The 26,421-nt window shown below is 40.8% G+C and overlaps 1 long non-coding RNA gene across 1 annotated transcript, besides 3 other annotated features; it reads right to left on the reverse strand.

Moving 5' to 3' along the window:
- Positions 5,362 to 5,953: an enhancer, noted in NCBI's record as "H3K4me1 hESC enhancer chr18:73405045-73405636 (GRCh37/hg19 assembly coordinates)". NCBI's record gives its function as "activates a minimal SCP1, AML or CMV promoter by ChIP-STARR-seq in naive H9 embryonic stem cells {active_cell/tissue: H9 hESC(naive)}" and the evidence as "EXISTENCE:reporter gene assay evidence [ECO:0000049][PMID:30033119]".
- Positions 5,954 to 6,545: an enhancer, noted in NCBI's record as "H3K4me1 hESC enhancer chr18:73405637-73406228 (GRCh37/hg19 assembly coordinates)". NCBI's record gives its function as "activates a minimal SCP1, AML or CMV promoter by ChIP-STARR-seq in naive H9 embryonic stem cells {active_cell/tissue: H9 hESC(naive)}" and the evidence as "EXISTENCE:reporter gene assay evidence [ECO:0000049][PMID:30033119]".
- Positions 8,355 to 24,675, reverse strand: LINC01898 (long intergenic non-protein coding RNA 1898). Its single transcript, NR_134646.1, has 2 exons — positions 24,288 to 24,675; positions 8,355 to 9,883 (listed from the first exon to the last, which is right to left on the reverse strand). It is a non-coding gene; the product is annotated as a long intergenic non-protein coding RNA 1898 (long non-coding RNA).
- Positions 24,106 to 25,305: an enhancer, noted in NCBI's record as "MED14-independent group 3 enhancer chr18:73423789-73424988 (GRCh37/hg19 assembly coordinates)". NCBI's record gives its function as "activates an origin of replication core promoter dependent on BRD2, BRD4, P300/CBP and CDK7 cofactors, and independent of MED14, by STARR-seq in HCT116 cells {active_cell/tissue: HCT116}" and the evidence as "EXISTENCE:reporter gene assay evidence [ECO:0000049][PMID:35650434]".

Raw genomic sequence — 26,421 nt, forward strand, 5'->3', positions numbered from 1 at the left:
AGACATGTAACGCTTTCTGTGATTGCCAATACCATTTTTGGAGAGTGTTTTTTATAAACGGAGCTGCTTGTCTCATGAGTCATCTGTTTCAGAGATGACAAAGAGCATCCCAAAGTTAGCCTGCCTCCTCCAACTCTAACTCTGGTTCCTACCTATGCACTTTAATATTTAAGGTGAGGCTTTCATGACCAAATATGAGTAATAAGTTTAAAACATTTGAACATGTGTTCCACCTGCTACCAAGAAGGAACTTGGAGATCAATGCCTAGATGTTCATTGACAAACCTACATATCAGCTATCTTATATGTCTGCAAATCATTTTTGTCTCCCTTCAGCTTTGCAAAAAGTCTAGCTCTAAGAAGTGATTTAGAAATATGAGAAATTTCTTGAATCTCTTTGTGCGGAGACTTAGGAGTAACCCATGTTTCCTTCTGGGCTGATATACAGCCGTATCTCGATTCCAAGTCATCCTTTGACAATGATCACCAGTCCCTTTGGCATCATCCTCCTTTGTGTGTTGAGGCCCCTGTAAAACCTCAGTCAATAAGTGCTTAATACAAAAATTGACAGTGGTTTATGGGGTACTGATTCATAAAGGACTCGGGCTGACAGCATCGAGCCTTGTCATGATTTGCATTTCCAACCACTTAGTAAATAACAGTATTTGTCTAAAAATAAAGTCTAAAAGTTAAATGCAAAAGAAATGAGTTCTCAGGAAGGTGGTTAAGTATTAAAACAAGCACTATAAAGTAGATTTATGTCATCTTAAAAGATCCTAGTCTACATAGGAGAATAAAGAAACAGATGGAGGTATACTGAACAGTTATAGGAAGTCTGTGCTTGTTTAAAAGTCATGTGTTGATTGACATCATCTTTAGGTCTATGTTCAATTTTCAGAGAAAGCTAAAGAATTGCATTGGTTTTCCTGATGGTTGCATAATAAATTAGATAAACAGGTCCTATAATCATGTCTTTAAATCTGATTTGTAGCTGCAAAGGGAATTTATGCTTAAACATCTTTAAGTGTAAACAAACACAAGTCAGAGGAGAAGGCATGGATTCTCAAGTTTCCTTTTCATGCTACAGAAACTTCAGGAGGCTAAGTCTGCTATTTTTCTCCCATCTCCCCACCTTCATCCTCAGTTAACAAAATAAAACATTACTTCGTCAGCCGGGCGCGGTGGCTCATGCCTGTAATCCCAGCACTTTGAAAGGCCAAGGCTGGTGGATCACTTGAGGTCAGGAGTTTGAGACCAGCCTGGCTGTCTCTACTAAAAAAAAAATTAGCCGGGTATGGTGGTGAGCACCTCTAATCCCAGCTACTCAGGAGGCTGAGGCAGGAGAATTGTTTGAACCCAGGAGACGGAGGTTGCAGTGAGCCGAGATCGCGCCCCTGTACTCCAGCCTGGGCGATAGAGTGAGATGCTATTTCAAACAAAACAAAACAAAACAAACAAAAAACTTCTTCGAGGCTATTATCTTTTTGAAATGAATATAGCTGAATTTCCCTGTACTTGGAGACTGGTGAGGACAGAAGCTCTGTGGCTAATCTAAGGCTTTCTATCATTAGTGCTGATGTTTATTCTTTGACAAATAAGATGAGGGTAGAAACTTTTTTAAATGGTAAAACCATTGTCTTTATTTCAAATTCAGGAAGAAAAGAATTGTAATAACAACAGCAAAACTATAACTTCATAAAATATATCATCCCAGTATCTCTAGTAAAATCTAAGAAAAAAACAAATCAATCCCAAATATAGTATTATTCCCGAATAGTAGACAAAGCTTCCATTTCCAGATAGAAGGGACTAATGGGCATGAGCAAAGGAAGGATGAAAGAAACTCCCTATGTTATGGATGTATGCAAAATGACTCATGATTAAGTACGAGGTAAAACAAAGGTATAATTCAGGAAGGTATTGTTCTGCCAAGGTGTTGCTATGCTTGTGAATTAAAATTGTTGATCTTGTTTTAAAACATATATGAATGTCTGTGTGTGCTCTAAAAAAACTTGAATTTGCATGCGGACCTGGTGTTCTGACATAGACTAAAGAGGTCTCACATGGACTCTGTTTTCTATGTATTTGCATAATAACTGAAACAGACATATTTTGATAGGCATTTGGAGTATTGTTTTAATATAATTTTCAACTTGACCTTTTGCTTTATAAACTAAGACTATTTAGTGCTCACAAACATTTGAGAATAAAATATTTTAGAGGTGGATCCTAATTTATACTAAGGTTGTCTTTCTAGGCTAATAAAAGATTTTCTTGGGATCCAATATGAAACTCCACAGGAATTTCAGTTTTCTAAAAATGTGAAATGGTAAAGAAGGTCTCCTATTAAGTAGAACAAGAGATGCATTCAAATATTAGGTGACGTTTTCTTAGAAAGTTAGAGGAAACGTAACATCAAATGTAATTTTGCATAACTACATTTTTGATAAGTATTGCACTATCTCATTTGGATTCTTTCCACTATAAACATTGCTTTATAATAACTTTTGTGATTTTTTTTTTTGGAAAACACTTTAATCTGGATGAGCACCTAAAAAGAAAAATTGTTTTAAATGGTAAATAGTGATTACAATAGCATCAAGGAGGAAACCTAAGTTAAATTCCCAGATGTTGAAAACACACATAGTAGAATAATCACATAAATGAAGCAATTGTAAGCCATCAGATTATTTGGGGATTCAATGAGAATTTCAGTGCTCAGTTGTTTTTTTAAATTAATTAATTAATTTATTTATTTATTTATTTATTTATTTATTTTTTGAGATGGAGTCTTGCTCTTTTGCCCAGGCTGGAGTGCCGTGGTTCTATCTTGGCTCACTGCAAGCTCCACCTCCCCAGTTCACACCATTCTCCTGCCTCAGCCTCCTGAGTAGCTAGGACTACAGGCGCCCACCACCATGCCCGGCTAATTGTTTTTTTGTATTTTCAGTACAGACGGGATTTCACTGTGTTAGTCAGGATGGTCTCAATCTCCTGACCTCGTGATCCACCCGCCTTGGCATCCCAAAGTGCTGGGATTACAGGCGTGAGCCACCTCACCTGGCCTGTTTTTTAATTTTTTTTTTAATACTAAGCAACATAGGTGTTTCCACCCAGTAAGTCAAGGTTAAAGTGGAATTTTCAAATGAAAAGCCAATCTCAGTCAACTTAACTATAAAATCAGTTTGCTAAACTCTAAAATTGGAATTTGGCTGGATAATCTCTAAAGTCCACTAAATGATGACAAATGTGGGGTTGTGATAAGGTGAGAATAAGAACTGTGGTCAGCATAGGCCAGGGGCTTAGATGACTATGAAGAGCTGAGGGGTGGACTTCTCCTCAAGGAAGAGGGTGGCAGCCCACACGCCCAACCCAGAAGACACAGTCACATGCAGAGGACTCCAGGCTCACTCTGAACATCAAGAGGCAGAGTGTGGACGTGCTGGGTCATTGGTGGCTCTAGGGCAGAGTCACGGGACTGAACCATTTGCACTGACCAGTGGGGAATGAAGCAGACCCAATCCAGGAAGGAGGCCTGGGTTCAGGTGACCAGGCTGGTGTCAAGACCAGACTCATGTCCTAGTAAGATGTGGAATTCAGGTGGGTGGAAACGAGGGATAGAGAGGGAAGTCAGAGAGTAGAAGATTCTGCTTTGGATGGAGAGTGTAGAGAACAAGACGCATAAGGATGTGGCCAGCATCCAGGTGCACTTCTCCAGCTAAATACTGCTTGTAATGTGTTGTTCATTGATGTACTAATTGGGAGGGCAAAGAACTACACTGAATTATTCCTCTGCTTTCTCCAGGCATGGATAAAAACATGGCCCAACTTCTGTCTAGTTGTTTGTTCGTTTGTTTAATCCGTCAGGGCCTGCAAAGACCCAGGCTGTCCTGCAAGTAGCTCCATGAAGCAAGACGTTGTCCTGCAACATTCCCCGCAGTGTTCCTTCCCACCTGCAGGGGCGAGCTGTTCCTTTCTCCATGTTGAGCTTCTCCTTCAAAGTGGGGAGTGGGGCTGTCTTGGCGGGGCATGCTACCTGGGATCTCTGTGTGTCTCCCAGGCCCTACTGTCTCACCTTGTGCAGGACTCTGCAACCTACTGACAGTGGGACTTTAGGGAAGTCAACGTCCTGATTCGGGAAGGTGGGCAATAAAGCTCATTTTCTGGTTTTCTGTGTGGATTCTGCACAAGGGCCCATGGAGAATCCCTGATACACACTAATTCCCTTCCCTGCACATGCTAATAAATTCCCTGCACATGTGAATTCCCTTCCTTTTCACTTTGCCATCAGTCAGTTCGACTGAGTTTATTATTCATTATTGGGTTGAAGAGAAGGGAAGAGAAGTAGGTTATGGTTACAGAATGCAGGCTTTAGGGCTAGGAAGATATGGATTCAAATCTTGCCCCTACCATTTGAAGTCGTGTGGGCCTGAGTGTTCAGTGAAACCTTTGGAGCCTCTGTGTTCTCATCTGTAGAATGGAGGCAGGACTGATGTGAGGTTTAGAGATGATGTAATGGTATCGCAGCCTAAAAGACACTACATTAATGCTGGCTTTCAGTATGAGCTTGCCCTGGTATCATTGTGTATACTGCCACAAATCATTGAGGCTGAGAGACAGTAATTCAGATGGACAGTACCTCATACTGTCACCTGACATTGTCACTTTCAGTGTGTACATTCCATGGTCACCTCCTTTCATCCTGTAACAGTTGCTAAAGTAGTCACAAAGATGGTGCCATTGTCCCTTAAGATAAAGTGCTCTCTATTGACTGTCACTCAGTGAGTGGGTGAATAAAACATGGTGAATCCATACAATGGAATACTATTCAACAATAAAAAGGAATAAAGTACTGATACAAGCTGCAGTATGAATGGGCCTCAAAAACATTAAGTTATGAGAAAGAAGCCAGACATAGAGGATCACATATTACATGAGACCGTTTATATAAAATGTCCATCAAAGGCAAATCTATATAAAGTGATTAAGTTAATCTGTGGTTGCCTGTGGCTGGGATGAAAATGATCACTGACTGCTCATGGGTATCAGTTTTCTTTTGGAGATGATGGAAATATTCTAAAATTACACTTGATCTTAGCCAATAGGCCGAGAAGCAATATCCTAAAATTAAATTGTGGTGATGATACAATGATTCAGTTTACTAAATGTCATGGAGTTGGATCCTGAAAATGGGTGAATTTTATAGAACACAAATTGTGCCTCAGTAAAGGGATTTTTAAAAAATAAAACTGTCAACGTTGCCATACGATTGCACAGCTGGGGAGTGGAACCCCTGGGACCTGGGCCCCCCTTTGGCTCTGAGTCTCCTTCCCCTCTGTAGACATTGTCACGTGGCATGCCACCATGGCCTCCCGCATCATGAAGGGTAGGCCCAGTCCTTCTGCAGCCTTTGTCTCCTCTCGCTCTTGTCCCTGCTCCACTCTGCTCCAGAGACCCTGGCTTTGGACCGTTCCAGGTTCCCTTGGCGTGCCAAGCCCTGGTCCCTGGGACCCTCTGGGCTGGGTCTCTGACTTTTCACTTCTGCCACTTCTGCGACAATGTTGCCCTGTCTGCGAGGTTTTCCCAACCACCCAATCTGATGTACCCTCTAAATGCTCCATCCCCATTTATTCTCTGTCCCTCAGGCTTAACTGCCCTCTGAGCACCAGCTCATCACATACGTGTTTGTTTTTTCTCCTTTCCTCTAGAATGTGGTCGTCTTGAGAGCCAGAGCCATCCTGCTTGGGGTTCTGGTAGCACCTGAGGCAGAGCAGGTGTTGTGAAGGGGAGGAGCAGACAGAGGGAGGGCAGGAAAGACGTCCCCAAGTGGGCATTGAGAGTCACGGGAGGAGAGCCTGAGGGGACGCTGTTCCGACCTCACCAGCTTGGCATCCACGGTGCCCGATTGCACTCAGCTCCCAGGGAGGCCGAGCACATCCAGTGGACTCCCAACTCCCCAGGCTGTGAGCGTCAGGGCCAAAAAGCTCTCTGAAGCCTAAGAGAAGAACATTAGCCAAGGCAAAAATTTAAAAAAAGAAAAAAGAGGGTCGAGGTCATTTCGTATTATTTGAATGACTTGTCTCCTTTCTGTATTTAGACACCGCTGAAGTCCTTCCATACTTTTCTGAAATCATAAATGACTTGTTATCCCTCGAGGCATCAGGGAAGAACTCCCTTTGTATAATCTGTATATTAAAAGACTTTGAAAGTGAATTTCTGTCAGTCAAAAAGAAACCTCTCTCTCTCTCTCTCCTGTCTCTCTCATACTGGTTGGTTTGAACACAAACTTCCCTGATGCCTTTCACCGTTTGTTTCCCTCTACGTATTAAAGCTCAAGCACAGATGGGAAAAGGGCACATGGGAAAAGTGGGAGGACACGGAGCACGGAGCATCTCCTAGCTTGCAGCCCCTGAGATTCCCGCCCCCACCCTCTGCCGGCTCCTGATTCACGTAGGAGCTTTTGGGGATGCACTTCCCTGCTGCCATTCCACACAGTACCTGCCAGGATCCAGTTCCATGAGCTGTCCCTCTTGATGGTTCCCAGAACAGGAATGTGGAGCATGGGGACCTCACTAAGGACATCTGCAAAGTAGATGAGAAATTGATCCTCATCCCAAGCCCTGGACTTCCTGCATGCCCTCATGCAGGGGCCCTGCTTTGATTCCCATAGCTCTGCCTTCATTGCAGGTGCCTGGAGCGCCTCTGCAGCATCCAAGCACTTACTCTGCCCACACTGAGTCTGCTGCTGTGGGAGAGAACCCCGCTGCTCTGTGGGCCACACCCACAGGGAAAGGCAGGACCTGTTCCCAAGGGAGGGACAAGGCGTGTTGCCTGTCAGCTGCTGGGCAGCGCTCATCCGTCTCTCTCATGACACAGGTGCAGTTCCCTGGGCCCTTCCAACTCCTTCCTAAGGGCTCTCAAGGCCCCTGATCCCTTGATTTATTTCCTGAAGCACCTCCTCTTTTGGGAGTCTCCCAAATATCACAGGACCTGCTTGAGTGGGGAAGATCTTGAATCCAGTGCTCAGAAAGGACTCTCCTCTCTCTAAAATATGATATTATTGGATGTCTCCTTCCTGCCTGCTCTCTGCCTGTGAGCAGGGCTGGCTTGATAGCCCACTGTGGGAAAAGCCGTGTTTACTCGGAGTGTTTCTTGACCATGTTAGCCAAGGAGGTGGCCTTGGCCTTGTCCGTCTCCATGTCAGTTGGATCTGACAGCAGGGTCTGTTTTCTCTCTCTCACTCGGCGACACATTTAGCCACCTCTACTCCGCCTCATCTTGGTCCGGTAGGGAGGCAGGAAGGTGATTCCCCTGGAGGGATTTATGTTTGAATGTAAGACTTTTAAAGATGGAAATGAGCTCAAGGTGCTCACCTCTGAGGGCATGGCAGGTAAGCATGTCCCACCCAGACCCTCTCAGATCACTCTTGGTCATCAGTCAGCATGACAATAGCACAGCCAGCACCAGCTCTGTTCCTTGTCATGCCCAGGAGGCTCACTCCAGGGTAGTTTCAATGGATATAAGATGCCCTTTACAATGTAATCAGTTAATTCATTAATCCTGCATTAATGGGACAATTTCTTCGTGTGCAGCACTAATGATACACAAATAAGACGTGGTCCTTCCTCTTAAGAATCTTGTGTCAAAGACAATTGGACATTCAGAATTCCAGGGAGTAAGGTGTGGCATATTTCTGAGCCATTATTCTGTCTACGATTATGGGCAACTTGCTTTTCTGAAAGCTCCCCATAGTCTAGGCATGTAATACATGTAACACACCTAGGATATGGGGGAGCTTTCAGAAAAATAGGTTGCCCGTAGTGCTAGATAGAATAATGGCTCAGAAAGATGCCACATCCTAATCCCTGGAAGCTGCGGATAAGTCACCCTTCATGGCAATGGGACCTTGCAGGAGTGATGAAGTTAAGAATATTGAGATGGAGAGATGATCCTGGAAGGTCCAAGTGGGCTCAGGGTCATCACAAGTGATCTTCTTAGAGGGGGCAAGAGGGTGAGAGTCAGAGAAGATGTGATAATGGAGCAGAGGCTGGCGTGATGCAATCAGGAGTCTAGAAATGGGATAGGCTCCAGAAGCTGGAACCACAAGGAACAGATTCTCCCCCAGAAACTTCGGAAGGAACACAGTTCTGTGGACACTTAATTTTAGCTGGTAAGATCCACTGCAGATGTCTGACTCCTAGACCTATATCACAGTGTCTATAAGCCACTATATGTGTGATAATTTGTTACAGCAGCAATAGGAGGCTGAAACACTCTGCATAGAGGAAGACATAATAACAACGAATCTATGTTCAGTCATTGCCATGTGCGAGATATCACCACAAGTCCTTTCCATCTGATAGTTTATTTAATCCTTGCAACAATTCTGTAAGATGAACAGTGTCATTATTCTCTTTTTCTGATTGAGCAAACTAAATTTCATAGAGGCTAAGGGACTTTCTAAAGTCACACAGCTAGAATGCGGTGGTGTCAGGATTCAACTCCAAGCGGTCTGACTCTGCGGTCTTAACCAGTCTTAACCCACCTCTCTGGGTGATAGTCCAGAAATGCCACCAAGATCACATGTACAGCCAAGGCAGACATAATGATCAGCCAGGGCAGGGATTCCCTACCAAACACTTACTCCATCTTCACCACTTTTAGGATCTTTCAAATACTGTTATTATTCTTGTAATTGAGAGAAAATGGCTGTTTTCCAAAGTCTTGAATCTTCTACTTCTCTGCGTTACGATGACACTGAAAATATGATACTATAGATGAGAGGCTGCTACCAGAGCTTCCCTTTTGGAAATTCCCGCACCTAGGGCCACATCACCACACCCCCTGGTACCCCTCCCTTCTGATGAGGAAGCTCCCACAGTGGCTCGAGGCTGTGCGTCATGTTCCCACAGTGGATTGCAGAATCATTGTGAGGGTAGAGACCAATCATTTTCTTAAAAATAAAATAGAATAACAGAGAATATTAGGGAACATGGCAGAATATATAGAAAATATCAAAGTGCAAAAAAGCATAAGTAAACTTCAATTTTGTTTGACTTTACGTATAAATATTCCCTTATTCCCAACATAAAATAGATTTATCACTGTGGGTTATGTTAGAAAACTAACAGAGAGAAATCCAGAGTGAGCTCTCTTAGACCACAGCCATCAGAAAAAAACCAGTTCTTAAAGGGAAAGAGACTGATGTTAACAATAAGCTCACATGTGTACTCAGGAAAACATCTAGAAAAGGCAGCAGTAAAGTCAGAGATCTTTAGTCTAGAAGGGTCTAGAACCACAGAAAAGTAAAATAAAGAATGACTTGCCAATTTGTATAGAACCATAGCTTGAATAAACAAGGTTTGTAGAAGTGAAATATTTATGAGTAAACTGAGGTTAGTGTTTGAAACTTATTTTGCTTTTAACCCATGTTGTCTGTGATATATTAAATTGCTGATAAGTGGATGAGACAGTCATATGTAGTGCTAATGTAAAGAGGTCTATTTATAAATAGCAGGAGCAAATGCACTGTATGATACATCTTTCCTGTTTTCTGTCATCATGGAGTAAATATAATTGCTGGTCTAAACAGGTTACACCTGTGGCAGCCACCTCAGGTGTAGGCCTGTGATTTAGAAGGAAATTATTCACTTATGAGTGATTGGTGTATCGTTTCCATCCAAGAGAGACGCAGTACAATAGATAAGCAATGTGGCCAGGTAGAAGGAGGCAGCTTTGCGGTCAGCTGATAAGACATTCTTTCTTTAGATTTCTTCTTCAATACTCATCACTCAGCCCTATTGTTTCCTTCGGACCCCATCCGACTGTGTGGCACAGCTTCTTTATATCAGCTCACTCCTCTGGGCCTGAGTAAACCATGTGCCTGTAGAAAAAAAAAAAAATGAGAAGGGAGGCAAAAAGCTCATCTTCTTGTAGCTGTCACGGATGTAAAAATCCTGGCAGCAAAGTGGGACTTGTGGTAATAATTGTGACACAATAGATTTTGACAAGAGAGACTGTTGATATGTTCATTTGCATACTGATGTGTAGTACTCTTTCTTCACGTTATACACTCTGGGCCCAACTTGCAGGCCCAACCATTCCTCCAGAACAAGGCATTGCTCAATCACTTAAGTCCAAAAAACTCTACATAAGAAAAGTGGCATTTTTTGTTTTTGAAAGAAAAAGTTATAAAAGAGAAAGGATGTAAAGATAAATATAAAGCAGGATTATGTGTGGCTGTATATTTCCTATTGGAAAGTATGGGCAATCTTTCAAGCTCATATACAAATGACATTGACTGAAGGAGATTGAAATCCCATAAGAAAATATGTAGCTGACTATTTGAGAACTATGAAAACTATACACCTAACCATTGACGCGAGAGCCTAGAATCCATTGAGAATTGATTTACTCCTAAAATTCTAGCAACAAGCAGGTCTTTGTAAGTGGATGTCTAGACACTGAATGAAAAGAACAGGGAAGACATTCATCTCTCTTATCCTACAGTTACAATCTTTCTAAAGATGCAAGGTTGATTTCTGTTGTTGTTTTTGCCATATTAGTATTTTTTAAAAGAAATATATTGTGACTGCTATAGAGCTAAGGCATCTTCGGAGTGGTGGTAACTGGCACAGCTGAATTCCACAGCTAGAATTGCACATTTGAGACCCATCTGTTAGTTTCTGAATTTTGTTATAAACTAATCAGGAAGAACTTAAGTGGAAGCTCACTGGAATAAAATGGACGAGGACAATAAACTTCATGGTCATTGACTCAGCAAGATCATAATGATGCATATGTGTGATATACTGTATATAAAGATTTAAATAATAACTGCTAAAGTCTGTCCTCTTAAAAACCTCCACATTTGGCCGGGCGTGGTGGCTCACACCTGTAATCCCAGCACTTTGGGAGGCCGAGGCAGGCAGATCACAAGGTCAGGAGATCGAGACCATCCTGGCTAACACGGTGAAACCCCGTCTCTACTAAAAATACAAAAAATTAGCCAGGCGCGGTGGCGGGCGCCTGTAGTCCCAGCTACTCGGGAGGCTGAGGCAGGAGAATGGCGTGAACCCGGGAGGCGGAGCTTGCAGTGAGCAGAGATCGCGCCACTGCACTCCAGCCTGGGCGACAGAGCGAGACTCTGTCAAAAACAACAACAACAACATCAACAACAACAACAAAAACCCTCCACATTCACTGGATCGGCATGAGATAAATGTTAGTCTCTGATAAGAATAATGGTGTCCAGCCTTGGTCTATAACAAGAATGGGAAAGCTCAGTTTTTATAGACAGCAGCTCCACTGATGACGTCAGATGTTTCCTTGATACTTCACATTCCCAGCGTCTCCAGCAGAGCAGCCAGCCGATGCCTCGCAACTGGCATCCTAGGGAAGGCTACTTCAGCCACCCAGTGGCTTCCTGGATTCTAGGCTCTCGAGTCTATGCTGAGCTCTAGAAGACTTCCTGGAAAACATATTTTTGTCACAACATGCAGTCATCACCTGTTTATTAAAAACAAGATTTTCTTTATCTCTGACTGAAGCATTTTCTAGAACATCTGGTTGGTTATACTTTACATAAATTAACAGACTGTCATCTCCTCTTGACAGTTACCTGTTTACTTTCACTTCATTAAATGCCATTTTTCAGAAATAACACAAGATATATGAAACACAACATGTAATTAAGCAAAACAATACAAATAAACATAAATAATCGTAATGAGAATGGGAAGGAAAAAATTCACTGGAGCATAAAACTGGGAATTTGTCTATTGCCAGGCCTGTGAAAGTAAACTCAATGATTGCAGTGATGTTCTAGGAAGCTATAGTAACTAATTTGCATGTAATGTATATAGTGGTTTTTTAAATAATATGTTAAAAAGCCTTCTATCTTCAATTTATACCTTAAGTAGAGCTGAATGCCCATCTTTTTTTTATTTTTTATTTTTTTATTTTTTTTTTTAGACAGAGTCTCTCTCTGTCGCCCAGGCTGGAGTGCAGTGGCGCGATCCTGGCTCACTGCAACCTCTGCCTCCTGGGTTCAAGTGATTCTCCTGCCTCAGCCTCCTGAGGACCTGGGATTACAGGCGCGTGCCACCATGCCAGGCTAATTTTTGTATTTTCAGTAGAGACGGGGTTTCACCATGTTGGTCAGGCTGGTCTCAAACTCATGACCACCTGCCTTGTCCTTCCAAAGTGCTGGGATTACAGGCATGACCCATCGCACCCGGCATGCCCATCTTTTAGTCAAGGAAAATCCAATTCCATGCATATATAACAGAAACAAAATACTGGGGATGACCTGCTGAGATAAAGATAGAGGGGAGGTTCCAACATGACCCCCTCCTGAATGTGAACCCAGAAGGCCTGTGAGGCTTTGGGAATGCAGAAGCAGTAGCTGGAGATCCCATAGGCTTAGCAGTTTCCAATCACTTATTCCCATCCTATATTCCATTCAGGGCAAATCATTTTAACAGAGAGAAACACCTATCCACATTTCCTATTCCCAGTTCAGTATCTTGTCTTTTTGATGAAATTACAGTATGTCTATTTTTGTCTTAACCAATTTTACCTATAGAGAAGGATATATATATGTAAAGTGCCTCATCATTTATATTGATGAGCAAACATTTTCAAGAGTTGTATTTTTAGATTTCTGCTTGTCATTTTTATATTATCTATCTATCTATCTATCTATCTATCTATCTATCTATCTATCTATCTGTCTATCTATCTGTCTACCTATCTATCATCTCCATTGCCTTTCAATGTGATCCCTGGGCAAATGGAGAGGAAAATATAATAATTCGATTGTATCTTCTATAATTAGCAATAGCTATAAATTTCCTGTTACTATTCATATCAAAATCACATTTAAATTATTTAGCTCTGTCTGTATTGAATATACATTACTCTCAACAGAACCTAACATTTTTCTCGTAATATCCATAATTCCATCTCATTTGCTCCCTCCACATATTGTCATTCTTCGGCTAAGTCTGTCAGTCACAGTTTCCGTCTGCTTCTCCTACTTCATGGGCCAATGTTTCTGAGACACACAGTGGGAGGAGAAAGAGAGTATCTTTCTGCCAGGTTTGGGAGGAAAGGGGCTCCACAGGCATGACAACTTTTGATTCCAGAATGAGAGTAAAGGATTAGGCGAAACACACCCAAACTTAAAATTATTTAACTCCATGTGAAAGTGCAAAATTTATACTCAATATTTTCTGGTCTAATTTCACTTTCTAGATGAACATTTTCCCCCCAGTAACAGTCCTAATAGACTTGCCAGACTTGATACATAAAGGTTGTTAAGTGAGAAAAGGAAAAACAAAACCAGCTGAAATAGATGAGACCATTGCTCAGCAGCCTGAATATATGGAAGCCTTTAGAAGAGAAGGACAACTTTATGGTCTTTAAAATACCAGGAAGCCCTTGGCAAACTAAGTTGGTTAGAAGAGGCATGTAAATTAAATACTTAATGTGTGTGAAAGAGAAAGACTATGTATATTCAACTGCATAAAGTTTAAACATTTTTCCATGGTGAGAAATGATAAACAGAAAGCAAAAGAGAATCAGAAGATTGGAAAACTATTTTTACACATATGACACAAGGTTACTATCTCCCATATATAAAAATCTCCTAAAATTAACTAAAACATTACAAATAGTCTAAGAAAATTGCTAGGATGAACAGGCAATTATAAGCGTTAATAAACATACAGAAGGTTGTTAAACTTTACTGAGAGTCGGAGGAATGTGAATTAAAGCAATAGTGAAATTGGACTGACAAAAAATTTGCAGAAAATGGTAACATGTAATACCACCGAGGAGGCAAGGAAGGAGATACTATCAAAGACGGCTGGGTGAGCAGGAAGAGCTACAGACTTTCCCCCAAATAAATTTCAAAATATTTCTTAAAATTAAAAAGTATAAGTACCCATGAACTCAGTAATTCCATTTTAGAAATCTGTTATAGAAATGGAAAAAAAAAACAAAAAATAGCACCAATATATGAGGATATAATCTCAAGATAATTGACTACAACATTCTTTATGGTGGTAAAAAGGTATGAATCAAAAGGAGAATGGTGAAATATATTGTGTTCCACCTTATCAAAGGGGGACAGGTCTATATACTGGGTTAGAGTTGGATGCACTACAGAATATTGCACACCTATCACAGGATGAGTTTACTGTCATGCCACCTGATGTACGTTTACTCCACAGAAAGCTGTGGAGTATTATGCATGCCATTTTTCCACTTTTTTTTTTTTTTTTTTTTTTTTTTGCAAAAGATCATATGTTTGCATGAGCATTAAGGGATGGGGCCAGATTGTTGGTGCTGGTTGTGGTGGGGCTGAGGGTGTTGGAGACAGAGAAGGAGCAGTGTGTGAAGGTAAACTAATGCCTCTCTTGTATTATTTCATTGATTTCACCATTTTATGATCATATACAATTTTTGTAATTTAGAAAATAAAAAATAAAAGTACATTAAATTTGTCTGTTAAAAAAAGAGAAAGAGCATGACTATGGATGCGGAAAAGGCAGGTGATGCACATCGTCACTTCACCCTTGTCAGGGAGAGAAGGGGACACTGTGCAGAATGAAGAACTGGGCAGCGGAGGGCCTGGGTTCCAGCCCTGGGTCCAGCATCACTATGTGGGAAAACTGGGAACTAGAGTAGCCTGAGAGTAGGATCAAGCCTGAGGGAAGTCAGTGTTAACATTCAGGGGCATTTGGGTTACCTGGAATGCCAAGGGGGAAGGTGGATTAGGGGTGTGGGCAGACAATGAACCAAATCGTCACCTGGCAGGAGGTGAGCTGAGGGGAGAGAGAGTGGGGAGGCTGCAAGAGGACTGGGAGCTGAGGGTGCTGTTGAGAGAGGATTATATGGGGCTGGGCAAAGGAGAAGGGTAACCCCAAATCCCCCAGCTCCCCAAGAATAAAGCCTGAGGCTCTGGAAAAGGGGGACGAACAAGGGGCTGGCCTGAAGGCTGAGCCGGGCTGCTCCAGGACAGAAAGCAGCAGCTGTGTCTTAGCCAGAGGAGAGAGGGCCCAGGCTCTGGGTGTTGGCCTCCTTCATGCTAATGCTCGGGTCTCTTGCTTTAGTGATGCTGCCCAGAGTGGCTTCAACCTCAGCTACACCTTGGCAGGGATACTGAGACAGAGTAACAGTTGTATCCTCACCTGGAGCTGGGACATTGAGGAGCAAAATTATGAACTCCTTAGGGCAAGTCTCCAACATGTTTGGCACCAGGGACAGGTGACATGGAAGACAATTTTTCCATGGTGTGTGCATGTGTGTGTGTGGCAGGGTGGTTTTGGGATGAAATGCCCCACCTCAGATCATCAGGCATGAGATTTTCATAAAGAGCAAGCCACCTAGATCCCTCACATGCACAGTTCACAATAGGGTTTGTGCTCCTATGAGAATCTAAAGCCACGGCTGATCTGACAGGAGGTAGAGCTCAGAGGGTAATGCTTACCCACCACTGCATACCTCCTGCTGTGTGGCCTGGTTTCTAAACAGGCCATGGACCGGTACCAGTGGGTGGGGAACCTTAGTTTAGGCTGCCAAAAGGAGCAATGGGCTGGGTGCCATGGTCCAGCTCCAGGAGGGCTTTGAGTTGGCCATGGTCATTGCCAAGTGGCAATGTTAGGACCAGAGCAGAACTGACCAGTGCCTGCCCTGGGGTCTGATCTTCCCTGAGGTTGTGTCTTCTGGAAACGTGGGTGGCAGTAATTAAATATCTGTGGCCCCCTTGGTTCCTCAGGATGAATGTTCTTCTATAATGCTGGAACTGTCTAATTTGATATCATTGTCCATAAAGAAAAAAACAGCAGGTACAAAAGGTAAAAGGCCAAGGGTAGGGACAGAGAAACAGAGTGTACAAGCTTCAACACTTGGGGTTAAGTGGAGTCTAAATCTAATTTCTTTAAGCCCAAGTCCATTAAAGGAAGCAGCTACATCCTTGCATAGCTGGCTTTGCATTCAGTATGTTGTAAATTCTTACTAACAGCAGCAGTAGGAATGTCCCCACACCTACCTGCCATGTCCTCTGCTTGGTGCCTATGAGAGAAGGTCACGGGTGCAGACACCTGAATGCACAGAGACCTGGGAGCAGAGCAACCTGGGAATTCAGAGACCTGGGGGTGCAGAGAGCTGTGGGTGCAGAGACTTGGAGGCAATGAGAACTGGGGTCACAGAGACTTGGGGGAAAAGAGCCCTGGGGGTGCAGTGACCTGGGGATTCAGAGCCCTGGGGGTGCAGTGACCTGGGGGTGCAGAGACCTGGAGGCAATGAGAACTGGAGGCACAGAGACTTGGAGGCACAGAGCACTGGGGGTGCAGACACCTAGGGGTGCAGAGACCTGGGGATGCAGAGACCTGGGGGTGCAGTGACCTGGGGGTGCAGGGACCTGGATTCACAGAGACCTGGGGACACAGAGACCTGGGGGTACAGAGACCTGGGAGTGCAGAGACCTGGATGCAGAGAGAGCTGGGGGGGCAGAGACCTGGGGGAGCAGAGACCTGGGGGTGCAGAGACCCGGGGTACACAGACCTGGGGGAGCAGAGACCTGGGTACACAGAGACCCAGAGGTGCAGGTATCTGGGGCCAATCCAGCAGAGGCAACAGGTGTGGATTCTGTTGGATGGAAACATGATTCCTAGACGATGTGCTCTCTCCAACAGGAAGCAGTTTGGTGTCCTCTAGTTTGTTATCATAGTCCTTTTCAATGTGCAGCTTTCTCTTCAATCAGCTCTAGCTCAGAACCGAGAGCATGCCAGTTTCCTTGGGCATAATCCCATACCAGGGATCAAGCAGAGCCTGTGCTTTGCGGGTCCCCACAGGAGACCTTGGCATCACCCACCTGCCCTCTGGTTTTGACCCGCCAGAGGCATTTTATATCTCTTTGTACCTTGCATGATGCTTAAAGAGTCTGGCTGTCTTTGAAGTGTGTTGGCTGCTCCTAGACGCCTCTGTGCTGTCTCCCACACTTCCACATGGCCCTTCAGCACTCAGCCTTTCCCCTCCCTGGAGTCTGGACACGAGCACACACATCACTGTGTGCTCATGGCCAGATTTCAATGGAACGAGATTTGGGCACTTAGATCCCTTTGGGCCAATGCCAATGTCACAGAACAGGAAGGACGGATGGCAGGAGGGCTTGTTCAAATAACGGGGCTGGGGACCCCCTAGACTGACCACTTAGTCAACAAAGACTGAGAGCCCCCACCCCAGTCCAGCCCACTGGGAAGGGAGCGAGTCAACCAGGTCCCTGCTTATTTGGCCTAAATGACTTGTTTTTGTTTTGTTTTCCCTTTTACAGTTTACAGTGTTGATTAAACTAGAGTTCTTTTATTGAATTGATTGGTGGTTTTGGAATTGCGCAGAGCAAACCACAATCAAATCCTGTGGGGTTGTCCAGAGTGCTCCTGCTGGCCACTTGGAGCAGAGAATGCTTGAGCTCTGCCCAGGCCAATGAGGTTTTGTTCTTTGAGAAAGGATGGAATGGAAACCAGACAGAAGAATAGTGGGGATGGGAGGAAAACTAAGGCAAGATACCGGAATCCAAGGAAAAAGAAAACAGAGAAAGATGGTACAAGGACGCAGGACAACTGAAGAAGGACTGTGGCCATGTCACAACCATAGCTGAGATAAAAGATCAAGAATTTGAAGGTGAGTACAGAAGAGCAGGACATATCCTCTTTGACAACTTGTTCACTCTAAAAATATTCTTTTTAAGTACTTATAGTATGCCAATTCTATAATGTAAAATTTGGGCTCTAATTATCTCAAAAAGAAGAGGCTTCATGCACTGAAATTAAACTTTTTTTTCTTTGCATAAAGGTTCCAGCAGTCCTTCAGGGAGATAAAAAAGTAATGCAGACTTTTTTTGTTCTCACTTTTTCCTTTAAAATGAACAGCTCCAAGGCATAACACCAGGCACCTTCAGTCTGAGGCTGCCACGAGATGGGGTGCAAGTTGTCTCATTTACATTAAGCTGAGTTAGAATTTGGAGAATTTACCTCCCTTCCTTCACACTTATGATTCCCAACTGCCCTCAGGATCAGTCCATCAGACCTGAATCCCAATCCCTGTGCCACCTCTGATTGGCACTACCTAATTTTACAGATGGCAAAACAATGTTTCAGAAAAATTAAGTAACTTGCTCAGTTGCACATTTATAAATGGTGGAGCTAAAATGGGAACTCAAGTCTATTTTGTCTCTAGAGTTTACACTCTCTCTTCCAAATTCCGTGTCTGCGTGTGCATGGAAATACATACACATGTATATGTATATATGGAAGTAGACAATAGCAAAGCATTGCCTTCTCTCCAAACAAGCACAAAATGCCAAGAAAATCTAAATTGTAATATGCATACTTTACATGCAAGTCAGTTTACTAATGACAATGTAACTAAAAACACATGGAACTAACACCTGTTTTTTAATAAAATAAATGCAGAAACATAATTAGTAGGAAATGGAAACTTTGCATGTTTCTACATGACGATGATGATGATGGGGATAGTAGATGCTCCCATTTTGGAGGACTCCTTTCTTCCAGTGTCAATCATCATATTTGGAGTTTGGTGTAAGTTATTTACATTATTTATTTAAAGGGCTCCAATACTTTAGGCTTAAGCAATTGTTCTTTGCTAGGGGCCTTCTAATTTTCCTAGCGGGTAAGCATACTGCATTCAAATTTGGAAGTTGCTTATGGAAACAAGATTATAAAGATGTCTGAATAAGCTAAAATAAAATTATTGGTGATAAACTTGATCATGCCTTAATTCTATTTAGTCCTAAAAGCCTAATATTTTGTCATTCGGAAGAGAAATGTATTCATTCAGCAAAGATTTTTGAAATGTTCTAACAACACACTCTAGGAATTAGAAAATGAATTTACCAGACAATCTGCAAGTGAATTTTTTTTTAACCAAATCTACCATTATTTGGAGAATGTTTGTTAGCATACCCACAGACAAATGTGTAGGAATATTTACTGTAATTCAGTGTACAGCTAGAGTGTCTGCGTTCGAACCCAGTTCCACCCTCAGCTGTGCGTAATCTTGGGCAAATCACATCACTTCTGTGGTGCGGTTTCTTCTGCTGTGAAATGAAGAGGACAGTAGCATCTATCTCAGGAGATTGCTATGAAGACTAAGCGAATCAATACGTGGTAAGCGTTTAGACCAGTAGTTAGCACATAGGATTAACGTATTAGCAACACTTTTTTTTTTTCGGACGGAGCTTCACTCTGTCGCCAGGCTGGAGTGTAGTGGCGTGATGTCGGCTCACTGCAACCTCTGCCTCCCAGGTTCAAGCCATTCTCCTGCCTCAGTCTCCCGAGTAGCTGGGACTACAGAAACATGCCACCACACCCAGCTAATTTTTGTATTTTTAGTAGAGACAGGGTGTCATCCTGTTGGCCAGGATGGTCTTGATCTCTTGACCCCGTGATCTGCCCGCATTGGCCTCCCGAAGTGCTGGGATTACAGGCGTGAGCCACTGCGCCCAGCCAGCATCATTTTATCAGATAGTTTTCCTACATCTTTTGAGATGATCACTTAGATTGTCTCCCTAATATGTTAATATGGTGACTTCCCTTAATAAATTTCCTGCTGATAAAGAATCCAGCATTTCCAGAATAAACTCAACTGCAAATAACATATCATATTTTTATATATGTAGTAAGTTAGTTTAAATTTATTTAAAACCTTTACAAGTGGAATTTTTCTTCCTTATTACTATACTCATGCAGTTTGAGATCAGGGATATACTACCATCAAAAAACAAACTGAGAAATGCTCATTTTCTCTAATTCCTAGAAGAACTTGTGCAAGATTGGAATTTCTCGAATGTTTGGTAAAATTGTGTGTAAAATTGTCAAGGGCAACGTCTTTTCTTGTAAGGGAATTTTAAAGTATTGACAATTTTAAAGCAAGATTCTAGAGTGTATTTTTTCATTTCTTCTCATGTTATTTACAGGAAACTATTCATTTTGTATAAACTTTCAAATATATTGGCATAAAGTTCATAATATTCTCTGGTTTTTAATATCTGCTATTTGTAGTTATGACTCCCTTTTCATGCCTTAGCTTATTTATTATTATCTCCTATGTCCTCCTGAGTTTTGATAATTTTGTGTATTTTATAGCTTTTTAAAGCTATATATCACATGTTGATATGTCCCATTATGTTTATTTTCTTTTTTAAAAAATTAATCTTTGCCTTTTATTGTTTCATCGTTTACTTTCATTGGATTTATCCTGTTAGTATTTTAATATCTTTTAAAATTGAATTAGTGGCCAGGCGCGGTGGCTCACGCCTGTAATCCCAGCACTTTGGGAGGCTGAGGTGGGTGGGTCACCTGAGGTAGGGAGTTTGAGACCAGCCTGACCACCATGGAGAAACCCCATCTCTACTAAAAATACAAAAAATTAATCGGACGTGGTGACGCATGCCCATAATCCCAGCTACTCAAGAGGCTGAGATAGGAGAATCGCTTGAACCTGGGAGGCGGAGGGTGCAGTGAGCCAAGATCGTGCCATTGCACTTCAGCCTGGGCAACAAGAGCAAAACTCCATCTCAAAAAAAAAAAAAAAAAATTGAATTAGCTCAATTTTCAGCTTTTAAAATTATATATTTCTCTAAATATAGTGTCATGTACAATTTTATAGCTTTTGATAAATAGTTTTTTGCTATCTTTTGGTTATAAGCATCTTATAATTATCACTATAATTATTCTTGACCTTTTAAAAATATATAAATGTAGGTTTAAAAAATTATATATATTTTAATTGTTAATTTGTAATTTAATTGCTGATAATCAAATATCTTGTTCTATATATTACTCATTCTATTAAATGTTAAAGCTCGCTTTATGGCCTAGTAATGGTTCAATTTATATGTCTGAGAAGACGATAATATTCTGTAAATGTTTAGTGAATTATTCTATATATATTCATTACATTATTTTTTAATTATGTTTTTTGACTCTTCTATGTATTTACCAATTTTTATTGCTTTATCAATAATTGAAAAAGTTGTAATAAATATTTCTATTACAGTTATGGATTGGACAATATCTTCTTTAAAATCTGAAAATTTTTTGATGTAATTCAATGCTTCTCATTAGATTTATATACAGTTAGATTTGTTATATCTTCTTGTTGAATTGACTTTTCATCATTGAGTTGTAGCAACTTTTATTCTCTTTAATAGTGTATTTTACCTTAAAGAGTTATTTTTTCTACTATTGTAGTAAAGCTATTCCAACTTTTTATTAAGATATTTTTCTATCTTTTTTCAACCATTTATTTTTTAATGTCTTTTTGTTTTATATGCATATTTAGCAAACACACACTTATGTGCATACATAATAGTGGTCTTAATTGGCAAGTTTAGACCATTTGCGTTTATTATTATTACAAAATTCTTTCTAGTATTTCATATTTTGGTTTTTATTTGTCTTGCTTTTTTTTTTTTCTAATGCTTCTTTACTTCTGCTTTGCAATCTACCCTTGGTTTCCACAGTTAGTCCTATTACCATCTCCAGTTTGGTGAGTTTTTTTTCTAGCTGGACTTATACATACTATACTATGTTTAAAAACTCCCCCACTGAGAGATATCATTGCACTGATCTATACGTCTATACCTACGGAATATCACTGTATTAAAGACTCTATCTTTAAAGTATCCTTTGGGTTCTGAGTAAGTGTCTTTTTTGTTCTTTTGGAAATGGTTTTAAGTATTCTTGGTTTTAGCACTCCCAGATTAATTTGATAATTAGATTGCAAAGTTTTAAAAAAAATTTCTATTAGACTTTTTATTTGGATCACATTGAATTTATAGACTCACTATGGGAAACTTACTATCTTTAAAATATCTATGAGGGAATGCGATACAGGTTGAGTATTTTTTTATAAGATGCTTGGGATCAGAAGTGTTTCAGGTTTCAGATTTTTTTTCACATTTTGGAATATTTGCATAGATATAATGAGATATCTTGGGTATGAGACCCAACTCTAAATATAATATTCATTTATGTCTCATATACACCATCACATGGCATAAAGGTAATTTTATACAATATTTTAAATAATTTCATACCTGAGGAAAATTTTTACTGTGTTTTCACTGTGACCCATCACATGAGGTCAGGTGTGGAATTTTTCACTTGTGGTATCATGTCAGTGCTCAAAACATTTTAGATGTTTGGAGAATTGTGAATTTTGGATTTTTGGATAAGGAGTGTTCATTCAATTTGTATATCTATCCATATTTTCATGTTCTTTAAAAGTTTTAAAAAATTTTGTACAGCTTTACTTATATATCTTGCACATATATAAGTTTAGATTTATTTGTTAGCATTCATTTGTCTTGATTGGAATTTCTCTTGGCATTTTCAAATTATTGATATTAAAAAAGTCTCAATCTTTACATATTTTGTAGTCCACCATATTGCAAAGCCCTTTTATTTCTTCAAACTACACCAATTTATCTTGATATAGTGATAGTGCTGGAGAAATGGCAGTTTAAGCTCTTCATTTCTAATATTTACACATTTTAACTTTTTCCTTTTATTATTACATTGACTGAAATGCATAGGAAGATAGAGGTGCAACGAGCATACTTATCTTCTTCCTGACTTTTTAATGTTATTTCTAATGTTTCCCACTGAGATTACGTTAGATTTCTTCTAGCTACCATATATCAATGACAAGATGAGACGATCTCTTCGTTTGTGTAGATAATTATCTTTGAATCTAGAATTATATTTTGTCAAAACCATATATGCATGTATGTATGTCTATACCTATATCTATCTATAGACAGAAACAGAGACAGACAGAAGACAGACATTTATCTTTTCAGTTCCCTATATATGTTATAGTAGTGACAAAAAACTGACAATTTAAAACAATGTTGAACCTTTCTTGGTTTTTTGGGGAACCTACTTATTCACGCTGTATTATTCATTTAGTACATACTACGTTCAATTTTTAATATTTTAATTAATTTTTTACATTCGTATTTATAAAGGAAAGTGAGGGGCCTCAAATTTTCTTTGCTTAATATATCCTTGACAAATTTTCATAGCAAGGTATCTAGACCAATATAATGAGTTGTGTTTTTTTTCTTTTTTGCTGTTCTCACATATTTTATATAACATAGGAATGATCTCTCAAATAACATTTGCTATAATTTACTAATCTCGACATCTGAGCCTGTTTTAAAAGGTAAATCTTCAGTTTTTATTTAATCTCTCTAGCATTTTTCTGGTCAAGTTTTGTATAATACTACATCTTTGTCAAATTTTGTAATTTATCTCTTGAAAACAATTTTTATAGACAGATTGATATAGAGCTAAGTCACGTATTTTAATCTACCATGCACTGTGCCTATGCCCCTTTTCTCCTCATTGTTCTTTTCTTTCTTCTTTTTTTTTGACGGAGTTTTTGCTCTTGTTGCCCAGGATGGAGTGCAATGGCGTAATCTTGGCTTACCGCAACCTGCTCCTTCCTGGTTCAAGCAATTCTCCTGCCTCAGCCTACTGAGTAGCTGGGACTACAGGCATGCATCACCACACCCAGCTAATTTTGTATTTTTAATAGAGACGGGGTTTGGGCGTGTTGGTCAGGTTGATCTCGAACTCCCAACCTCAGGTGATCTGCCCACTTCAGCCTCCCAAAGTGCTGGGATTACAAGTGTGAGCCACTACACCCGGCCTCCTCATTGGTCTTTATTGATGACTTCCATCATTTTTTTGATACTGTTGTAATTGAATTGTTCTTTTTATTGGGTTTTAAACTAAACTCTTAATCTTTTTGAAGGATTTTACATTTTGTATGCTATTTTATTAAACCAGCTTTAATCTGATTAAGTTTTCCTCTTTTTAAAAAATTTATTTCATTTATTTAAGTTTAAAGACTTGCTATATATTTCCTTATTTTAGTAATTCAAGGCTACTTTTTCCCTCTACATATGGCTTTTCCCTTTTCTTTCCTTTTTTTTTTTTTTTTGGTTTGCCTTTCACAGATCTTCATAAGTAGTGCTCCTCTTATTATTCATTTCTGATTTGTAATCTTTTCAGTAATTTTTTGAAATTAGTATTTTACTTTCTAGGTGATTACATTTTAGAATCAAGCCTTTTGTTTTAAATGTTATTCTAAATTTTATAGCATTGTGATTTTTGTTTTCTTTAGTTTATCTTCTAGTATTGTTGAATTCAGTATCTCTTTTTTATGTCAAATTTTTTAAGTACCTGATGATCTGGAGAAATGTTTCATCTTTGCATTTGAGGTTGTCAATTTGTTTATCCGTTTTCAGAAACTGTTGGCACAGGATGCATTTGAAAGGAGGCAGGATGCAGAGTCAGTCTCCTGTGGGGCTGGGAGAAGGGAAGCATGCACAAATGGCTGCTGCATGGCCGACTCTCTCAGATCCCAAACGGCTGCTGCATGGCCGACTCTCAGATCCCAAACGGCTGCTGCATGGCCGACTCTCTCAGATCCGAAATGGCTGCTACATGACCGACTCTTGGATCCTTAATGGCTGCTGCATGGCCAGCTCTCGGATCCGAAACGCTGCTGCATGGCCAACTCTCTCAGATCCAAAATGGCAGCTGCATGGCTGACTCTCAGATCCAAAATGGCTGCTGCATGGCCGACTCTCTCAGATCCAAAATGGCTGCTGCATGGCCGACTCTCGGATCCGAAATGGCTGCTGCATGGCCGACTCTCTCAGATCCAAAATGGCAGCTGCATGGCTGACTCTCAGATCCAAAATGGCTGCTGCATGGCCGACTCTCTCAGATCCAAAATGGCTGCTGCATGGCGGACTCTCTCAGATCCAAAATGGCTGCTGCATGGCCGACTCTCTCAGATCCAAAATGGCTGCTGCATGCCCGACTCTCTCAGATCCGAAATGGCTAGTGCATGGCCGACTCTCGGATCTGAAATGGCTGCTGCATGGCTGACTCTCGGATCTGAAATGGCTGCTGCATAGCCGACTCTCAGATCTGGGGACTTCCTGTGTCTAGGCAGTACCCTTTTCAACAAACCAAGAACCAACATTCACTGCTTTCACCTGAAGGAAGGGAAGAGGGATGTGAACAGGCCAAACTGAATGGTTGTTTCCTTATAAATAGTCCCTTTATTAGTCGTCCTGGTCTCCTCCTGCTTCTCTCAAGTATAGAACACCCTTGGGACCTCTTCCACCTTATATATGAGTCCTACATTTTAAGGGGTTATATATGATTTCATCAATGGGAAACCCCACTGTTATTTATCTTCAAAGACTCTTTGTGGTCTCTGATCTTCTGAAGACTCCACATATATAGTGCAATTATGTGTGTGTGTGTATGTGTGCATATATACACACATACATCTTCTGTATTTTCTATAGGTATTTGATCAAGAAAGAAAGGCTACTCTATATATTTAGCTAGCCATCATATATTAACATGGACTGTGTGAAACCATAGCACATAGCCTAAGTGCATATGTTGGACATGAGAAAAGATCTCAAATCAATCATCTTCATCTCTCCCTGAAGAAACTAGACAAATAAGAGCAAAATAAACTCAAAGCAACAAGAAGGAGAGAAAAGATAAAGATCAAAGTGGAATTTAATAAACTTTAAAATCAATGAAACAAAAAGCAGATCCTTCCAAAAAATAAGGAAATATGATGTCAAATGCTTATAAACTCACAATTTAAAAGAAATGGACCAACTCCTTGAAAATCAAAAACTACCCAAACACCATCAATAAGAAATAAATAATACGAAGAGCCCTAAAACCTCAACCAAGTCATCATAAGTCAATATCAACAGTGATAAATGATGTTGACAGTATGTAGCCTTGAAATGATGTGGTCTTTCTCTCCAAAAGGCATGTCTGCAGTGCAACCATGGTAAGAACATCAAACAAACCCAAATCGAGGTGTTGGGAGCTGGGTCATAGAAGCTGATTGGAGAAGGCCTAGATCTTCTTCTGTGACTGCCTGAATATGCGTCCCTTGAAATGATGTGGACTTCCTCTCCAAAAGGCATGTCTGCAGTGCAACCATGGTGAGAACATCAAACAAACCCAAATCGAGGTGTTGAGAGCTGGGTTGTGGAAGCTGGTTGAAGAAGGCCTAGATCTTCTTCTGTGACTGCCTGAATATGCGTCCCAAGAACTTCCACTTTCAGTTGTTCCCAGTGACAGCACAAGGTGGACCTGCTTGTTCTGCAGCTCACTAGGTGTCTGTCCAGTGAGTGACAATCTGTCTCCTCACCTTTCAGGAACCCTCAAGTTCAATGAAGTATTCTCTTAACCCTCTTATGAATTTCTGGGGATAAAGAAAAACACTTCCCTTTTCCACTGTGAGGATGTGGCTGCCTCTCACTGAAAG

Source organism: Homo sapiens, chromosome 18 (assembly GCF_000001405.40).
Source record: "Homo sapiens chromosome 18, GRCh38.p14 Primary Assembly".
In the NCBI taxonomy this organism is placed as follows: Eukaryota; Metazoa; Chordata; class Mammalia; order Primates; family Hominidae; genus Homo; species Homo sapiens.